Genomic DNA, 19,760 nt, shown 5'->3' on the forward strand with positions numbered 1-19,760 from the left:
TAGTAGAAACTAGTTGTCAAAGTCACTACCTCTACAAGGACTTCTCTTGAGAAGGGCCAAAAAACAGAGCATCTTTCGCCAAGAGGTGAAATTTGAATGGGAGAGGCCCTTACTCCTCTCGTTCTGACTTAACAAGTCTTTTTATAAGACCAAAAAAATGTTGAACCTAACTTACAAAAATCCATTGTTTTTTTTTTTTCGAGACGGAGTCTCACTCTGTTGCCCAGGATGGAGTGCAGCGGCGAGATCTCGGCTCACTGCAAGCTCTGCCTCCCGGGTTCACGCCATTCTCCTGCCTCAGCCTTCTGAGTAGCTGGGACTACAGGCGCCCGCCACCACGCCCGGCTAATTTTATGTATTTTTAGTAGAGACAGGGTTTCACCATCTCTATCTCCTGACCTCTTGATCTGCCCGCCTCCGCCTCCCAAAGTGCTGGGATTACAGGCGTGAGCCACAGCGCCCGGCCCAAAAATCCATTCTTAATGGCTTTCTCTTCTGATGCAAAATCCTGATTGCCTTCAAATATTACTATTAGATAGAAATCTCCCCACCTTTAGCTGAAAGAGATAAGGAGGTTTTGCACTGAGGAAACAAACAAACAAACAAGCAAACAACATTCATCAATTTTTAAAAAAAGTATGTATTGAACTATAGTCAGGTTCAATGAGGAAATGCATTACATTGTCACTAAACTGGCCTTAGTTGGAGAAAGAACACTGGCAGATTAATTAAAGTTATTAGCGCTTATGGTAGGAAACTGCATGATATATGTGAAAGATCTTTTAGGGACTGGAAACACAGTGTAAATTCAAACTCCTCCCAAAACTTTAACAAGGCTGGATGAAATGAAAGGAATACTGTGATTTCTACAATTGACAACAGTGTCAGGCATGCAGGAAACAAACAAAACCTTTTGATGAAGGAAAAGTAACTTCTGGACAAAGTATAATTGGTTACAGGTAAACAGATATGTCATCCAGGCAGATATGACAGTTTATAGGAAAAATATAATGTTATGATCTAAAAAATGCAAGCCACAAACCTATTGCCTGGGCAATAATTAGCCTGAAGTTGGGCTACTAAGGAGCTGGCTAAGCAGCAGTGATAACACCAGATACTGGAAGAAACTTCTGTGATCAGAAACCAATACAACTAGTGAACAATTCACAGTATTTCTAAATCCGGGCACCAAGGAAGTTGTTTGGTTAGTCATGATGGAAGCCAGGAACAAATAGATCTCAAATGTGTGATAATAATTATCAAGCGGAATGTCTAGAATATTATAGTGAGTGCCAAGATTTCCATCTAAGACATTACCAACATAGCAACTGAGGCATGAATTACAGGTTTTACACAAAAAAAGCATTATAAGAATAATACATATAATATATTAACAGTTCAAAAGTGAAACAAACATTTATGAATGGGCTACTCAGATTTAAAATAAAATATTGCCTGTTCATTGAATGCTTTCTGGATTTTACTTTCTAATTGTATACCTCTCTTTCTTTCTTAAGATAACTACTATCATATATTTGTTTTGGACTGCATGTTAATAAAATTATATAATATGTATTTTATTAACTTCATAATAAAAATACTTTTTAAAATAATATATTGAGATTAATCCCTGGTGGATTGTGCAACTGTATTTCATTCATTTTCACTGCTTTGCATTCAATTCAATCCATGTACAGCGTACCCATCTGTTTTACTGTCAATTGATATTTTTTTCTAGATTTTTAAAATGACAAAGCAGCAATGAACATTGCAACTTTAAAATTTTTGGACCTGTTTCCTGGTTCACATGTGTTAAGAGTTTCTTCAGAGTGTGTACCTTGAAGTGGAATTATTGGATTGTTTTGTTTTTGCATGTGAAACTTTATTACATATTGCCAAAAGACTTTCAAAAATAATAGTGCCAACTTGCAGTTTAAGAAGCCCCATGTGAAGAGACTTACTGCATGTACATACAACATTTGGTGTTCTCAAACCTTTTAATTTTTACTGTTCTAGAAAATATTCCTTTTTAAAATTGTATATTTCTTTGATTTTTTAATAATGATATTTGCTATCCTTTTAATAGGGTTTTTTTTGGCCATTATTTGTTATTCTTCTCTGAATTGACTTCTTATATATTTTGTTCATTTTTCTTCTTTTTTTTTTTCTTGAGATGGCGTCTTTCTTTGTTGCCTAGGCTGGAGTACAGTGGCGTGATCTTGGCTCACTGCAACCTCCACCTCCTGGGTTCAAGTGATTCTTTTGCCTCAGCCTCCCAAGTAGCTGGGATTACAGGCACCCACTACCATGCCTGGCTGATTTTTGTATTTTCAGTAGAGATGGAGTTTCACCATCTTGGCCAGGCTGGTCTTGAACTCCTGACCTAGTGATTCACCTGCCTTGGCCTCCCACAGTGCTGGGATTACAGGAGTGAGCCACTGCACTGGCCCATTTTGTTCATTTTTTCTATAGTATTGATAATATTGTATTATTGATCTGTAGCACTTACTTATTCACGTATCTCAATATTGATCCATTGTCAATTGCTTGGGTTGTGGTTTGTCAGTTTGTGGCTTGACTTTTTACGCCCAGTTTAGTGTCTTCAAATGAACACATTACTTTGTGTCTTTTTGAAGAAATATTGCCTAGTTCAAAATCAGAAATAATTTCGTTGATTGGTTTCTAAAAGGGTTATACCATTGTTTTTAATATGTAAGTCTTCATTCTACCTGAATTTGATTTTTTAAAAATGATGTGATACAGGAATCAACTTTGATTTCCATATGGATAATCAGATGTATCAGTACTACTTACTGAATCAGTCATTTTTTCCTTCTGATCTCTAAAGTCTACTAGTAGGAATAAAATTTTTGTATATGCTCCATTGATCTAATTGTTTATTCAAGCACAAAGGCTAAAATTTGTATGATATTCTTTTAAGTATTAATATCAAATATTGTAATTTCTCCCCCCCCCATTTTTTTTTTGAGACAGATTTTTGCTCTGTCACCCAGGAAAAAGTCCAGTAGTACAGTCTTGGCTCACTGCAACCTCTGCCACCTGGGTTCAAACAATTCTCCTGCCTCAGCCTCCCAAGTAGCTGGGATTACAGGCATGCACCACCATGCCTGTCTAATTCTTGTATTTTTAGAAGAGACAGGGTTTCACCATGTTGGCCAGGCTGGTCTTGAACTCCTAACCTTAAGTGATCCACCTCCTTGGCCTCTATCCGCCACTTCTTGTGCATACCTCCTATCTCTTGCAATTAATATTGAAATTACTCATTTATTCACATTTTTCCCAAATGCAGTGTGAGAACTTTAAGGACAAGAATCCTGTCTTATTTTTAAATTTTCTATTACCATTACCTAGAATACTGACTAATCTATGATGCATTTGTTAAATGGAAATATGCCTTAAAAGGTATCCACAGCAACTACCATAATTAGAATGTCTAGTTTCATCTGTGGAGATTGGAATAGTATTTATGTCTGTTTATGTCAAAATGTTATTCCCTAATGAAGAGGAACCTGTATATATTGAGTTCATCAGAGGCAGAAGGCAACTCTAAGTTAGCTAGCACATTAAAAGACATCCAATAATAGAAATCACTCACAGATAGATGATATCAAGTTGATGGATAAGACAAAGTGACTCCATTTGAATAAGTACAGTGATAATGAAGACTAATGCGAGACAGATTGAGCAAGCAGAAATTAAGCTTAAGTAAACAAAAAGAAAAATTGTATCTATGTTATAGCTGTCAGATTGAACAAATAAAATAAAATACAGAATACCCAATTAAATTTGAATTTCAGATAAGCAATTAATAATATATATATGTATATATATATTTTTTTGACAGAGTCTTGCTCTTTCACCCAGCCTGGAGTACAGTGGTGTGATCTTGGCTCACTGCAACCTCTGTCTCCCAGGTTCAAGTAATTCTCTTGCCTCAGCCTCCCAAGTAGCTGGGATTACAGGCTTGTGCCACCATGCCCAGCTAATTTTTGTATTTTTAGTAGAGATGGGGTTTCACCATGTTGGCCAGGCTGGTCTCAAGCTCCTGATCTCAAGTGATCCACTCGCCTCTGCTTCCCAAAGTGCTGGGAGTACAGAGCAATGAATAAATTTTTAGTATTGCTATGGCCTATATATCATTTGTGACACACAAAGAATTTATTTTTAAATTTGAAATTTGAATTTAACTGAGCTTTCAGGATTTTATCTGGCAATCCTAATTTGCGTGCCAGATCAGATTTAAATGATAACTAGGACCTAAGGAGGGCCTTCAAGATACACTTGAAGTCTGGTTGTTAGCGCCCCATTAAGAGCTAACTAAATAAGTATGACTATAACCTCCCTTTCACTGTTATATTAATTTAAAAAAAGACAAACAAACAAACTAAAAACCCCAACTGTTTCTGAGAATCCCAAAAAACCTCCAGAAGTTTCGTGGACTCTTTCATCTTGGACTTCCTACCTCTGTTGAACTCTTGTTCTCTGCATTACATTTGATGGCTATTCTTTTATTTTTTTCCAAATAAAGCTAAACTTCTTTGTGAGATTTTTCATATACTCATATGTAAATATATCATAAATACCCACACATTTTTGCCTGTATTGTATACTTTCTTGAATGTTGTGATGGTTAATATTGAGTGTCAACTTGATTGGATTGAAGGATGCAAAGTATTGTTCCTGGATGTGTCTGTGAGGGTGTTGCTGAAGGAGATTAACATTTGAGTCAGTGAACTGGGAGAGGCAGACCCACTCTCAATCTGAGTGGACACCATCTAATCAGCTGCCACCATGGCTAGGATATAAGCAGGGAGAGGAACATGAAAGGACTAGACTGTCTGAATCTTCTGGCCTTTATCTTTCTTCTGTGCTGGCTGCTTCCTGCCCTTGAACATCGGACTCCAAGTTCTCAGCTTTTGGACTCTTGGAGTTACACGAGTCGTTTGCCAGGGGTTTTAGAACCTCCAGCCGCAGACTGAAGGTTGCACTGTTGGCTTTCCTACTTCTGCGGTTTTGGCACTCAGACTGGGTTTCTTGCTCCACAGCTTGCAGACAGCCTATTGTGGGACTTCACCTTGTGATCCTGTGAGTCAATACTTCTTAATAAGCTCCCCTCTTTATATATACATTTATCCTATTAATCCTGTCCCTTTAGAAAACCCTGACTAATATAAATGTTTAGGGAAACAGAAGGGGTTTTACTTTCCTGACTCTTCATATCACTGCAGAATACATTTAAATCCTTGTTTTAAACACACTTTAGTTATTTCATTTTCTTGCTTGACCTTCTCTTACTCTCTATTTCAAGTGGCCATTTTCAGGGCAGGAGAGAAAAAAAAAACCCTTCCTTTTGTATGCAAAGCTATTTAGGGTTTTTCCATGCCCTGTGTCTGGAAATATAGCCAGGGATCATCTTTTGCAATTACAAAAACTCAGTATTGATATGAATGTTGTGCTCTAGGTGTCTATCTAAACTCTTAGGCAAAGAGTCTTCTTCTACACAGTGGAGCTTGTAGTTTGCTTCATCCATTTCTAACAGACCCATGGGAATTTTGATAAGGCTAACTAATATTTTCACTAAGCAGTACGACCCTTTTCTACTAGCAAGTAGAACTCTTATGCTGGCCCTATGTCTTGGAATGCTTTCCTTGAAAAATATTAAGCTTTTTTCCAATGCCCATGATCCACCAACTCTGCTAGTGTCACCTAAGTGCTGACCCATGTGAGCCCTGTTCTTGGTTTTCCCTTTAAGTTGATTTTCAAAACTCCATCTTATCCTCATGCAGGATTAACTAGAGGCTTTGGAAATTTCCATGCCTTACGCCTGTGAAATTTTGCAGGGAATAGTCGGTGGTCATGGCCAATTTTAGGATGTCAACTGAGGAAGGAATTGCTGCTGCCGTTTTCTCCTTCTCCCCTAAAGTACTTTCTTGGAGTCTACAGACGTCTTAGAAGCAAATCTGTCATCAAGTTTTACTAAAAAAAAGAGTATAAAAGTTTTGGAGACTTCAAATATTCTGACAAAATGTTTAATACTCAATTGTATGTGACACTGATAATATGAGGGTTAATCAGATGTTAGAAGCATCTGGGGTCTAATTAGACTTCTACTGTGTTTTGATAGATGCTAGATTTTTGCAACACAAGATAGAAATTCAAATTGTGTTCACTCTTCTGCATACTTTGAATATAAGAGAAAATAAACAGGTAAGGGCTAAGAAGGGAGTAATAAATCATTACTATCTATGTGCTGCACATATCAAAAAATATTTTTGAAGAATTCTGAAGGGAAGTCAGATACTGTAATGCATTGTTGGGAATGCTGAGGATATGGAATGCATAGCTTTTAGTCAAGTGGACTTTCCAGCCTTGACCCACCCATACACGTTTTTGACATCATGATGTTCAGGAAAGGAAGGAGAAGACAAAGTTCAGGGGCTCCATCATTCCTAAACTTTTCCTTCCTACATACACGCATACATCCACATTCTACCAACACCACTCACAGAAATAGCTACAAAGTTTGCACAATTCTGGGCCATAGAAAATGTGCAGAGAGTTCGTAGGACACATTGATGCTTCATCTCTTCTAATCTAAATGACACAATGAGAGTTTTAGGTGAAATCAAGGTGCAAGATCTGTCAAGAACTGACTTTGAAGATCATTTTTTTTTTTTTTATGAGCAACATGGCTGTTTATTTCACCTGGGTGCAGGTGCTGTGAGTCCGAAAAGAGTCAGCAAAGCGTGATTCTTTGGTTCAAAACCAAAGAACCATTAGTTCTTATAGGTTTTGGGATAGGCGGTGAAGTTAAGAGCAATGTTTTGTGGGCAGGGGTGGATCTCACAAAGTAAATTGTCAAGGGTGGGGAGAATTACAAAGAACCTTCTTAAGGGTGGGGTAGATTACAAAGTATCTTCTTAAGGGTGGGGGAGATTTCAAAGTACATTGATAAGTTAGGGTGGGGCAGAAACAAATCACAATGGTGGAATGTCATCAGTTAAGGCTATTTTTACTTTTTTTGTGGATCTTCAGTTACTTCAGGCCATCTGGATGTATAAGTGCAAGTCACAGGGGATGCGATGGCTTGGGCTCAGAGGCCTGACATTCCTGCCTTCTTATATTAATAAGAAAAATAAAACAAAATAGTGTTGAAGTGTTGGGGTGGCGAAAATTTTTGGGCGGTGGTATGGAGAGAGAATGGGCGATGTTTCTCAGGGCTGCTTCAAGCGGGATTAGGGGTGGCGTGGGAACCTACAGTGGGAGAGATTAAGCTGAAGGGAGGTCTTGTGGTAAGGGGTGATATTGTGGGGATGTTAGAAGAAACATTTGTCGTATAGAATGATTGGTGATGGCCTGGATACGGTTTTGTATGAATTGAAAAACTAAGTGGAATAAGAGAAGGAGAAAAACAGGTATAAAATGTCTAAGAATTGGGAGGACCTAAGACATCTGATTAGAGAGTGCCTAAGGAGATTCAGCATAGTCCTGCCAGCAAAGATTATTTATTTACTTCAAGAGTTAAGAATGGCAGTTTGGGGATAGCAGGAGGAGATATCAGCTGTGATGGCTTGGAGAAACAGTGTAAACTGGCAGTGTAAACAAGAGCAGGGCATGTATGAGTAGTTGAGAATGGTGAATAGGAGTACGACTAGACAAAAGATAGTAGGGATGACCAGGTTTTTGGGGGCACAGTCTAAGTTGGTCTGGTGTCTGGAATGAGACTGGGGCCTAATAAAAAGGAACGTCTATACAGGAGCTTAAATGGGCTGTACCTTGTAGCATTCTGAGGACAGGTCTGACTTCTGAGAAGGGAAAGTGGCAAAAGTATTGTCCAGTCCTTTTTAAGTTGGTGGCTGAGTTTGGTGAGGTGTGTTTTTAAAAGACCTTCAGTACGTTCTACTTTTCTTGAAGATGGATGACCATAAGGGATATAAAGGTTTCACTGAACACTGAGAGCCTGAAAAACTGCTTGGCTGACTTGACTAATAAAGGCTGGTCTGTTATCAGACTGTATAGAGGTGGGAAGGCTAAACTGAGGAATTATGTCTGACAGAAGGGAAGAAATGACTGCAGTGGCCTTCTCAGACCCTGTAGGAAAGGCCTGTACCTATCCAGTGAAAGTGTCTACCTAGACTAAGAGGTATTTTAGTTATCTGACTCGGGGCATGTTGAGTAAAGCTAATTTGCCAGTCCTAGGTGGGGGCAAATCCTCAAGCTTGATGTGTAGGGAAGGGAGGGGGCCTGAATAATCTATGATGAGTAGTAGAATAGCAGATGGAACACTGAGAAGTTATTTCCTTGAGGATAGATTTCCACGATGGAAAGGAAATGAGAGTTTCTAAGAGGCGGGCTAGTGGCTTGTACTATAGCATATCCTGCCTTTGCTGGTGTGTGGTGATTAGGCCTGATGGAACTGCCATCAATAAATCAAGCGTGATCAGGGTGAGGAACAGGAAAGAAGGAAATATGTGGAAATGGGTTGAATGTCAGGTGGATCAGAGAGATACAGTCATGGGGGTCAGGTGTGGTATCAGGAATAATGTGGGAGGCCGGATTGAAGTCCGGGCCAGGAACAATGGTAATTGTGGGACTTAACAAAGAGTGAGTACAGCTGAAGGAGCCGGGGAGCAGAAAGTATATGCATCAGGTATGAGGAAGAGAATAGATTTTGGAAGTTATGAGAAATGTAGAGAGTCAGTTGGGCATAGTTTGTGATTTTGAGGGCCTCTAAAAGTATTAGGGCGGCAGCACGCTGCACGGAGACATGATGGCTAGGCTAGAACAGTAAGGTCAAGTTGTTTGCACAGAAAGGCTACAGGGTGCGGTCCTGGCTCTTGTGTAAGAATTGTGACCACACTAACCATGCCTAGGAAGGAAAGGAGTTGTTGTTTTGTAAGGGATTGAGGTTTGGGAGATTAATTGGACATGATCAGCAGGGAAAGCACGTGTGTTTTTATAAGAATTATGCCAAGATACGTAACAGATGAGGATGAAATTTGGGCTTGACTGAAGTAATGGGGGCTGTCTGTGAAGCCTTGCGGCAGTACAGCCCAGGCAATTTGCTGAGCCTAATGGGTGTCAGGGTCAGTCCAAGTGAAAGCGAAGAGAGGCTGGGATGATGGGTGCAAAGGAATAGTAAAGAAAGCTTGTTTAAGATCCAGAACAGAATAATGGATTGTGGAGGGAGGTATTGAGGATAGGAGAGTATATGGGTTTGGCACCATGGGTGGATAGGCAAAACAATTTGGTTGATAAGGCATAGATCCTGAACTAACTTGTAAGGCTTGTCTGGTTTTAGGACAGGTAAAATGGGGGAATTGTAAGGAGAGTTTATAGGCTTTAAAATGCCATGCTGTAGCAGGCGAGTGATAACAAGCTTTAATCCTTTCAAAGCATGCTGTGGGATGGGATTTTGGCATTGATCGGGGTAAGAGTGATTAGGTTTTAATGAGATGGTAAAGGGTGCATGATCGGTCGCCAAGGAGGAAGTAGAGGTATCTTATACTTGTGGGTTAAGGTGGGGGGAATACAAGAGGAGGACGCAAAGGAGGCTTTGGATTGGGAAGAAGGGCAGCAATGAGATGTAGCTGTAATCCAGGAATAGTCAGGGAAGCAGAAAATTTAGTTAAAGTGTCTCAGCCTAATAAGGGAACTGGGCAGGTGGGGATAACTAAAAGGAGTGCTTAAAAGAGTATTGTCTAAGTTGGCACCAGAGTTGGGGAGTTTTAAGAGGTTTAGAAGCCTGGCCGTCAATACCCACACCACGTTATGGAGGCAAGGGAAACAGGCCCTTGAAAAGAAGGTAATGTGGAGTGGGTAGCCTCTGTATTGATTAAGAAGGGGGCGGGCTTACCTTCCACTGTGAGAATTACCTGAAGCTCAGCGTCCGTGATGGTTTAGGAGGCTTCTGAGGCAATCGGGCAGTGTCAGTCTTCAGCTGCTAAGCCGAGAAGATCTGGGAAGGAGTCAGTCAGAGAGCCTTGGGCCAGAGTTCCAGGGGCTCTGGGAGTGGCTACCAGGTGAGTTGAACAGTCCGATTTTCAGTGGGGTCCCACACAGATGGGACGCAGCTTAGGAGGAATCCCGGGCTGTGGGCATTCCTTGGCCCAGTGGGCAGATTTCTGGCACGTGTAGCAAGCTCTTGGGGGAGGAGTTTCTGGAGGAACGTCTGGCTGCTGTGGTTCAGGCGTTTGGAAGTTCTTGTGTGCTGGAGATGTGGCTGGGGTTTGTCTCACAGAGGAGGCAAGGAATTGCAGCTTTTTTCTATTATTGTACACCTTGAAGGTGAGGTTAATTAAGTCTTGTTGTGGGGTTTGAGGGCAAGATTCTAATTTTTGGAGTTTTATTTAATGTCGGGAGCAGATTGGGTAATAAAATGTATATTGGGAATAAGACAGCCTTTTGACCTTTTAGGGTCTAGGGCTGTAAAGCGTCTCAGGGTTGCTGCCAAACGAGCCATGAACTGGGCTGGATTTTTATATTTGATGAAAAAGAGCCTAAACGCTATTTGATTTGGGGTAAAGAAAAAGGAGCATTAACCTTGACTATGCCTTTAGCTCCAGCCACCTTTTTAAGAATAAATTGCTGGGCAGGTGGAGGAGGGCTAGTCATGGAACGAAACTGTAAGCCAGACCAGGTGTGAGAAGGGGAGGTGATAAAAGGATTATAGGGTGGAGGAGCAGAGGCTGAGGAAGAATTGGGACCTAGCTCGGCCTGGCGAGGAGGGGAGGGGTCAGATGGGTCTGTAGAAAAGGAAGATTAGAAAGACTCAGCGACACTTGGGGTTGGGACTGAGGGGACAGGTGGGAGGGAAAGAAGGAAGATTTGGGATGAGTTGCATTGGGCACAGAGACTAGGAAGGGACCGATGTGTAAAAGAATGCCTGGACATCAGGCACCTCAGACGATTTGCCTATTTTATGACAATTATTATTTAGATCTTGTAGGATGGAAAAATTGAATGTGCCGTTTTCTGGCTATTTGGAACTACTGTTGAGTTTGTTTTGGGGTCAGGCGCATTGCAGAAGAAAATAAGATGCTTAGATTTTAGGTCAGGTGAGAGTTGAAGAGGTTTTAAGTTCTTAAGAACACAGGCTAAGTGAGAAGAAGGAGGAACGGAAGGTGGAAGCTTGCCCATAGTGAAGGAGGCAAGTCCAGAGAAAAGAGTAGAGACACGGAGAAGGGGTGGGGGGTTCTTGCCCTCCAGAAAAGCAGAGAAGGGGTTGGGGCATGGAAATAAGAGGTCAGGGTGCGGAAATAAGGGATTGGGGGTTCTTGTCCCCTAGAAAAGCGGGACTTGCTGTTAAGGGTGAAGGAGAAGGGGTTGAAGGGTACTTGCCCCTCCCCCAGAAAAGCAGAGAAGGGGTACAGACATGGAGAGAAGGGGTTGGGGTACTTGTCCCTCTGCCAGAAAAGTGGGGCTTGCCACTAAGGGTGAAGGACCAAGGCAGGCGTCCCTGTGTGGTCTGACAGCTTTGAAACGTGGGTGAATAATCGGAGAGGTGTCCCTGAAATGATTAAACACCAAGGGAAGGCTGCCTTCCCAGTCCATGACCGGCGTTGGAGTTTTGGGTCCACGGATAAAACGTGTCTCCTTTGTCTCTACCAGAAAATGAAAGGAATTGAAATTAAGAGAAGGGAGAGATTGAAGTGTGGTGCCAAGATTGAAAGGACAAAGAGGTTGAGGGATAGTGAGGGAGGTTGGAGAAGAGAGTAAAAAGAGGCCGCTTACCGGATTTGAAATTGGTGAGATGTTTCTTGGGCTGGTCGGTCTGAGGACCTGAGGTTGTAAGTGGATGTTTCTCATGGAGCAAAGAGCAGGAGGATGGGGCATTGATCTCCCAAGGGAGGTCCCCCGATCCAAGTCACAGCACCAAATTTCATGTGTGTCCGTGTGAAGAGACCACCAAACAGGCTTTGTGTGAGCAACATGGCTGTTTATTTCACCTGGGTGCAGGCGGGCTGAGTCCGAAAAGAGAGTCAGCCTGGAGATCATTTTTAATGCCCACTAAAAAAATTTAAAGCTGTACAGAGAGAATATCTCTTATCTAAAATGCTTTGGGACCAGAAGTGTCTCACACTTTGAATTTTTGGGGGGGTTTTGGAATATTTGCATTTACAGAATAAGATATCCTGGAGATGGGACCTCTGTCTAAAAACAAAATTTATGTTTTTTATATACTTTAAACATACAGCCTGAAGGTAATTTTATACAATATTTTAAGTAATTTTTTGCATAAAACAAAAGTTATGATTGCAACATATCACATGAGGTCAAGTGTGGGATCTTCCGCTTGTGGCATCATGTTAGTCCTCAAAAAGTTTTAGATTTTGGAGCATTTCACATTTTGAATTTTTAGATTAGGGATGTTTAACTTGTATATATTCTCTACTGTTCCATTCAAATTTAAATATCCAAGGGCTTTGATTTCATCTGTCACATGGCAAAATTAGCATTAAAATTATCTCATATCTAAAACAAAGTTCTTTTCAAAGGCACTTTTTATGTTACATTCTAGGAACTAAGCATGTAATTATAATACATCCAAAACAAGCGAAGCAGTTTCACAGAGATAGATGTAATTGCTTAACTGTAATAATGCTTACCAATTTTACAGAGGAGGAAGCTAAAACTCAAAGAGCTTATATTTAGTAAGTCACAAAGGTTGACTTAGAACCCAGTTCTTTAGGCTCCTAATTTGGTATATTTGTTTCCCTACCAGTCTTTCTGCAATGCTATAAAATAGAAAGTGACTGCATTTTTTTTTGCTTGTGATTTCATAATATAGTGATTAATCTGTCATTTTTCACTAGAAGACAAAGGTTTTTGTGCCTTGATTATTCCACATTATGATTTTTTGATGCTGTAAGAAACTATCAGACATCGTCTGATAAAACCATTAATTTTTCTTATTATCATAATCACCAATAAGTTTTTACTTTATGATACGTTAAGTAGGAAAAGAGCTCATAAGGTTTCTACAAGCATACACATTAGAAAATAGATATTTGATCACAGGAAAAGTCTCATGTGTGAGCTAAAAAGAAATCTAACAATAAATCAGTAGATCATTGTTATGCATTTTTTAGCATTTTAAAATATTTTATGTGTATCTGTGTGTCCCAGTCCATTTAAATGAAAAAGTTTATGTCTTACGCTTCCTTACTCTTTACAAATCATTAGAGATGTTATTATATACAATATTGTTAAAGGAGATTTATAGATATATGTGGAACATAACGTGACCTGCAGTCCAGATACCAGACACACATAGAAGGCAGGAGCTATTTTAAATACATTCAATTACATGGCATTTGCTAGTTTCTCTGATTTCTTTTGCTTTAGTTTCCCTCAACTGGTGTCAAGAATGTATCCAGCAGGGTCCAAAGTTTTCTGTGATGATGCACTTATCCCTTGGGAACATGTGACTTTATATCCATACAAATTTTTTAATATATCATTTCACTGCCTTCAGGAGGACATTTGGTAAAGTGATTTAGAGAAATTGAAATGATTAAGTCTAAAAATTCAATATGTGTTCCAGAGTTGTGGATTGAGTCAAAAGAGTGAGGAGAGAATATTTAAGTCATTTAATTTTATCTATATTAATTTCTTAATCCCCCTGCTTTACCCACTGGCTCTCTCTGGCTTTCGTTCTCATTTCTTTTGTGAAATTCACAAAGGGAACATCAGAATCATCTATACTAGACATGGTGACTATAGGTAGCAAGATACAGGATTCTTGAAATTGCTAAAAGAGTGAATATAAAGGAGTCTCACCATAAAAATGACAACTTTATGAGGTAATGCATATGTTAATTAGGTAGATGTATTCATCCATCTGCATATTTACTTCAAAACAATATGTTGTATATGGTAAATACAAACAATCTTATCTGTCAATAAAAAAGAAAATAAGTAAATAAAATACCTATAGCTCACTTAGATGGCTTGGGTAAAAGTGCCTCTTAATTGTTGAATTCACTGCTGGTTTTGATTTTCTCAAGCTGAATAGCAAGCCACCTACTAATGGAAACAAATTTGCTTATTAGCTTGGCAGTCATATTAAATTTGGAATTTCATTGAATTATTTTTGTGAATGACCAAGGCTGCTTCTGTGGCACACACGGAACTGGATCGGGGCTGAATAGTACATTTGTCTATGTATCGTTTTGCAAGTAGTTTGATGTTCTCTCTCTCTCTTCCTTTCTTTCAGGGGCTTCTTGTGTGATCTCAAACCATTTCCTTTTAACTTACCATTTAATATTTGACCATCTAAGTATGAATCATATGTGTGTGTGTTGCACACATTCCTGTTTCATACACATTCTTTAATAACTCTATAATAGCAAAACATGGAAAGAATGTGCCATCATAAAGTATTTTTTACAAGCATCTGTACATCTTCAGTGATACATTTGTTGCCAGTTTGATGCAGAGTTAAGCTGTAATTATTTGGACTAATGAGGTTCCCTGCAGTTAAAATGTTTAGTAACTACTTTTCAGAAGAAAGAATGTCAGTCACACATTTTTCTGACCAATTCTAAAATTTAGAGTCCAGAGTTTTTTAATTTTTCAAATGAAAGTTGAAATCCAATCTGGACCTGGCGGGAATCTACTGATGCTTGTCCTCTTGCAGCCCTTGAACTGCTTCCTCCGTTGCCACTGACACCTTAATGAAGAGAAAGGTCTTTTGAAAGTAAAAATGCTGAAATTTATTACAACTCTTTCTCTGTAATATTAAATGATAGCATTAGAGTATTTTGTTCTTACACACCATTTTTCTTTTCTGGAGCTAAAGTAGTTGCTCCATTACTATACAAGCATTGTAAAGTAGATGAGAAAATAAATATTACTCTCTTCAGTATCTAAGGTAACGTAAGCACATTCTTTAAGTGACTTGTCAGAACCACAGCCCCTCAATTGACAAGTTTGTATTGAAAAACAACAACATGATTTCCAATTCTGTGCTCGTTAATTAAACTGTTTAACTTAGTAATTGAAGCATCAGTTTGTATTAAAACTTGTTAAAGGGGCTAATAAGACTTTGCAAAGAACTTCTTACTCTTCATAATAACCATGTTAGGAGAGTTGGATCTATTAGTAAGGCACATTATTATGAAATTTATATCTTATCATGCTTATTTTGCTACAGTGTCAATCCTGTTTACAAATCTGGAGGAGCGTGTGCTGATTCTGGCCTCTTAAGGAAACTATATATTGGTGTACTTTTTTACAGTATCTCATGGCATACTATTTTATCTTCCATGATCACACATCACTCACACCATAGTGTTAAATGCTATTAATTATTTGCTTGTCTATTCAAAACTTGAAGGTCTGACCTAGTATCTAGCACCCTACTCCTAGCAGTTAGCCTGGGTCACAGATGCTGCTCACTAAGTGTATTGATGAATAAATAAAAATAACCCATCATTCTGGATAGTAGAGTGTAAGTTTTATGTAGGTGAGAACAGAGTCTGGCTTTTTCCCCTCGGGCTCTTCCTCAATAACTTGTAGCACATATTCGATAAATTCTGTGGAGTTTATTTCACACATACCTGCCCACGTGAAGAGGTAGTTTTGACCATGCCATGTTTTGCTTTCCCTCCAAATCTCAAAACTTGTAGTATCCAGTTTTCCTGTGATTACTGAAGGATTTGGGAATCAAGATAAATATTGAATTTGGGTTGTCAGAGTTGTTTTTAAGAGAAAATAAAACCAAAGAGAAATTACTCTTTGATGCTTGTTTACAAAAGTTCAGCAATATCCTCCTTTCTGCTCTTCCAGGACTGAAAATATCATTTTAAGTGGCTTTTATTTGTTTACTTTTGTTCTGTATGTTCACTTGCATGTCTGGACACAGACTCATGGTTACTGTTTAATCACTAGGCAGGTTTTATGGTCAAGCATGACAGGGAGAAATGTACAAAATCATTCTTTGTAGAAAGCTCATTGTACATAAACCAAGAATATTCCTTTTTGATGGGTTTTCATAAAACCTTCTGCATAAAATGCTTTCTTACTTCTTACTGATAGCATTCACTGAGATAAGATATTGACACAGGATATTTTCACTGCTGCTTCACCAGCCAGAGACCTCCGTGGCCAGCAGCACCCCTGCTTGAATTTTGCTTGCACCTGCTGGGTTTGTTCCACCCACTTGGGCTGGCAAACTGTACTTGGCTCAGCATGCTAGCGGCCTAGATCTCACGCCTGCCAACGGTGAGCCAGGCATGTTGGTTGCTGTTGTGGGGAAAGCAGCTCCAGGTGCTGGCTCTGTGCGAGACTGCAGCTGGACCAGGTGTATTGCAAGCAGCTTCTGCCTTGGGTGCTGGTGTTTGGATGAGGGGAATGTGGTAGCACCTGAAAAACTCAGAAAGGCCAGGAACCATGGAGCCTCAAAGAGGGTGTTACAGTATGTTACCACTCTGGCTTGGGGAGTCTTGAGGTCTGGGCCCCAGAAGGGTCGCAGCTCATTTGTGTTACAGTTCATTGGTTCCTGCCATCCACACGTTTTGGAGAACAGCGGCATGTCCCAGCTTGTTCGGTCCTGTTGCACCGCTCCGACCTGCAACTCCTGGGCTGGCCCGGTCCTGACACTGCTTCCTGTTATGTAAGGTGACCACTAGACACCTGCAGAGGGCAGGAGGGCTACAGCTTTACAACTCCTTTCACACCCACTGTTTGGCGGATCCCAGGTTCTTGTCGTGCATCCAAAAAGAATGAGGTTATGAGGACAACTGAATAGTGAGCAAGGTGGAGAAGAGTTTTACTGAATGACAGAACAGCCTTCAGCAGAGAGGGAACCTGAAGTGGGTAGCTCCTACCTGAAGGCAGGTAGTCTCCCTGTATGGCTGAGTCTGGGATTTTTATAGGCTTATAATGGGGGAGGTGAGGGCTTTAGGTAGCCTTGGAAAAGGCAACATTTGATTGGTTAAAAAGCACTATTTAGAAAGAACCAATTGGGAAAGAGTGGGTGAACAGGAATAGAAGTTCTCACTCCTGTTGCAGACTCCATCCCAAACTGGCAACCCTATTTTCAGGCTTCAGGCTGATTTTGGCTTGAAAGTCAGGTTTATGGGGACCCGCCCCTTCTGCCTAGGAATTTGTCTGCTTCCTCCTGCTACCAATATTACTTGTTAGATATGATTATAGTGAATTTCAAGTGACAATCTAGGTCATTGATCATATTGCTCACTATTTCCAGAGACATAAATTATAAATATATAATATAGACATGTATATGTGTGTGCATGTGTATACATGAATGTATGTGCATATGTGGGCATGTATACATATATAATCTTATTCTCTGAATAAGGTATTCTTTGAATAAAGTGTCTATAAGAACAGTTTACCTAAATTTGCAGAGAAAATTTGGGTCATAAAGGCAAAGGCCAATGATGAACATACATTGTTCTATGAAAGGCATCACCTATAGTAAGATCTTCTGAATTCTACACATAGGTTATAAGATAAACTTTACAAAAGGGAAATGCTATGAAGCTTTTTGTTAGAAATATTATGTATATCTTAAATTGTTGAAATACATAATTTTTTTTTTATTTACATGCTTGCTGTCTGCTACCAGTAATAACTAATTGTAGAAGGGTAGCCAAGACATGCAGGAGGAAGAAACCTTCTGAAGACACTGAGAACACTATTGGAAATGACATTCTGACTCTCGACTATACACAGAGGAAATAGAAATTTGAGGAAGATTAAATATTCTCTTCAGAAAATTTCCTTCTGATACTATATTTTCTGTGCAAAATTTAATATGCTGCTATCAGCATATCTTTTTAGCAAAATATTATCTTTAATTCCAATCTTGTTAACTTTTCTATCCTCAGAAAGTATATTTCATATATTATTGTACAATGTTATGTATATATTTTAAAAGTTTTTTTATATTTTTAGTTTATCCCTATAAAAATTTAAATGTGGGAAGATCATCATATTTTGGAAGAAACTGCATGCATGTAGCATAGCTATTTATATATAATTTACATTAAAATGTAGAATGCTTTTTCTATTCGTTGGTTTCATTTTACATTTGATAATGTTGAAGTCATCATTTTGGCCTGTTTTTTATATAGGAAGAAGGCCCCAATGAGAATTCCAGATAACTCAAACTGTTAAACAGATGTATTGATTTTCAAGGTTTCACTCCACAGGAAGTAGACTTAATCTCATTGCCAAGAAAAAGCAATTTAAAAAGTAGAAATAGGAATTTTTTTTAGCTTTCTAGAAACTTTAAGACAACACTAAATAATCTTTGAGTGCTTAATGCAAGAAAAAATCTGGTTGTCTTGCTCTCTAAAACTTACTTCCATCATCTATAAGACAGATAGCAATAGTTTCTGCTAATTAAGGATGTTATGAGGATTAAGTGGGATAGTGCATTTAAAGTACTTAGACAAAGGCCTAGCTCATGTTCAGTACATAATAAATGGTAGTATTTTTATTATAAGTCAGGAGGTTTAGTTATCTTCTCTTTTCTAGGTTATATATTTTAAAGTAACATTGCTTGCTTACATACAATAAAAGGTCCCAGTTTAAGTGCACAGTGGAATAAATTTTGACAAATATATACCTCTGTGTAACCACTGCCACAATGAAAGTATGAAAATTTCCATCACTCCAAAAAATTGTTTGTGCTCCTTTCAGCCTCAGGCAACCACTGATCTGCTTTTAGAAATATAGTTTAGTTTTGCTTTTTCTAGAATTTCATACAAATGGAATTCTACAATGTGTACATTTTTATTGCCTTCTTTCATTCAGCATGTTTTAAAATTTGACAATAATTTGCATATCCAAAATTTGTTCCTTTTTATTGCTCAACAATATTCCATTATTTTAATATATCATAGTTCCTTATCCATTAATCCACTGATGGACATATGGGTTGCTTTTCATTTTTGGTTATGGTAAATAAAGTTGTTATGAACATTTTCACACAAATCATTTCTGTGTAAATATATTTTAATCTCTCTTTTGTAACTATCTAAAAGTAGATTTTCTGTATCATATGGTAATTGTTTAGCTTTATAGGAATTTTCCAAGTGACTGCACAATTTTTCATCCCTACCCACAATGGACGAGAATTCCAATTGATCTACATATTTACCAACACTTAATATTGCTGGTCTTCTTATTTTTTGGCATTCTAGTGGTTATACAATAGCATCTCATTACAATTCATTAAAATTATATTGAAGCTTTCTTCGTTGAGCATATTTTCGTGTGCTTACTGATGATTATTATACTTTCTGTGTCAAATGGTTGTTCAAATCTGTTACCCACACTCACTGAATTGTCCTTTCATTGTTGAATTATAAGAATTCATTATTTATTCTGGATACCAGTTTTTTTGAGATATATGTATATTTCCTCCCAATCCGTACTAGGCATTTTTATTTTCTGGGGATCTCTTTTGGAAAGAAGAAATGTATTGTATTAGTTTTTTTTCATGCTGGTGATAAAAACATACCTGAGAGTGGGAAGAAAAAAAGGTTTAATGAACTTACAGTTCCACATGGCTGGGGATGCCTCACAGTCATGGTGGAAGGTGAAAGGCATGTCTCATCTGGCGGCAGACAAGAGAAGAGAGCTTGTGCAGGGAAACTCCCCCTTATATAATCATCAGATCTGTATGACTTACTCACCATCATGAGAACAGCACAGGAAAGACTTGCCCCCATGATTCAATTACCTCCCACCAGGTTCCTCCC

General features: G+C 38.8%; 1 long non-coding RNA gene across 1 annotated transcript in view, besides 2 other annotated features; it reads left to right on the plus strand.

Moving 5' to 3' along the window:
- The window catches only part of LOC105375630 (uncharacterized), a 559,756-nt gene that overhangs the window by 407,678 nt on the left and 132,318 nt on the right, over nucleotides 1-19,760 (plus strand). The window lies entirely within an intron of this gene.
- Nucleotides 15,891-16,392: an enhancer, noted in NCBI's record as "H3K27ac hESC enhancer chr8:89763641-89764142 (GRCh37/hg19 assembly coordinates)". NCBI's record gives its function as "activates a minimal SCP1, AML or CMV promoter by ChIP-STARR-seq in naive H9 embryonic stem cells {active_cell/tissue: H9 hESC(naive)}" and the evidence as "EXISTENCE:reporter gene assay evidence [ECO:0000049][PMID:30033119]".
- Nucleotides 16,393-16,892: an enhancer, noted in NCBI's record as "H3K27ac hESC enhancer chr8:89764143-89764642 (GRCh37/hg19 assembly coordinates)". NCBI's record gives its function as "activates a minimal SCP1, AML or CMV promoter by ChIP-STARR-seq in naive H9 embryonic stem cells {active_cell/tissue: H9 hESC(naive)}" and the evidence as "EXISTENCE:reporter gene assay evidence [ECO:0000049][PMID:30033119]".

Source organism: Homo sapiens, chromosome 8 (genome assembly GCF_000001405.40).
Source record: "Homo sapiens chromosome 8, GRCh38.p14 Primary Assembly".
NCBI classification, from domain to species: domain Eukaryota; kingdom Metazoa; phylum Chordata; class Mammalia; order Primates; family Hominidae; genus Homo; species Homo sapiens.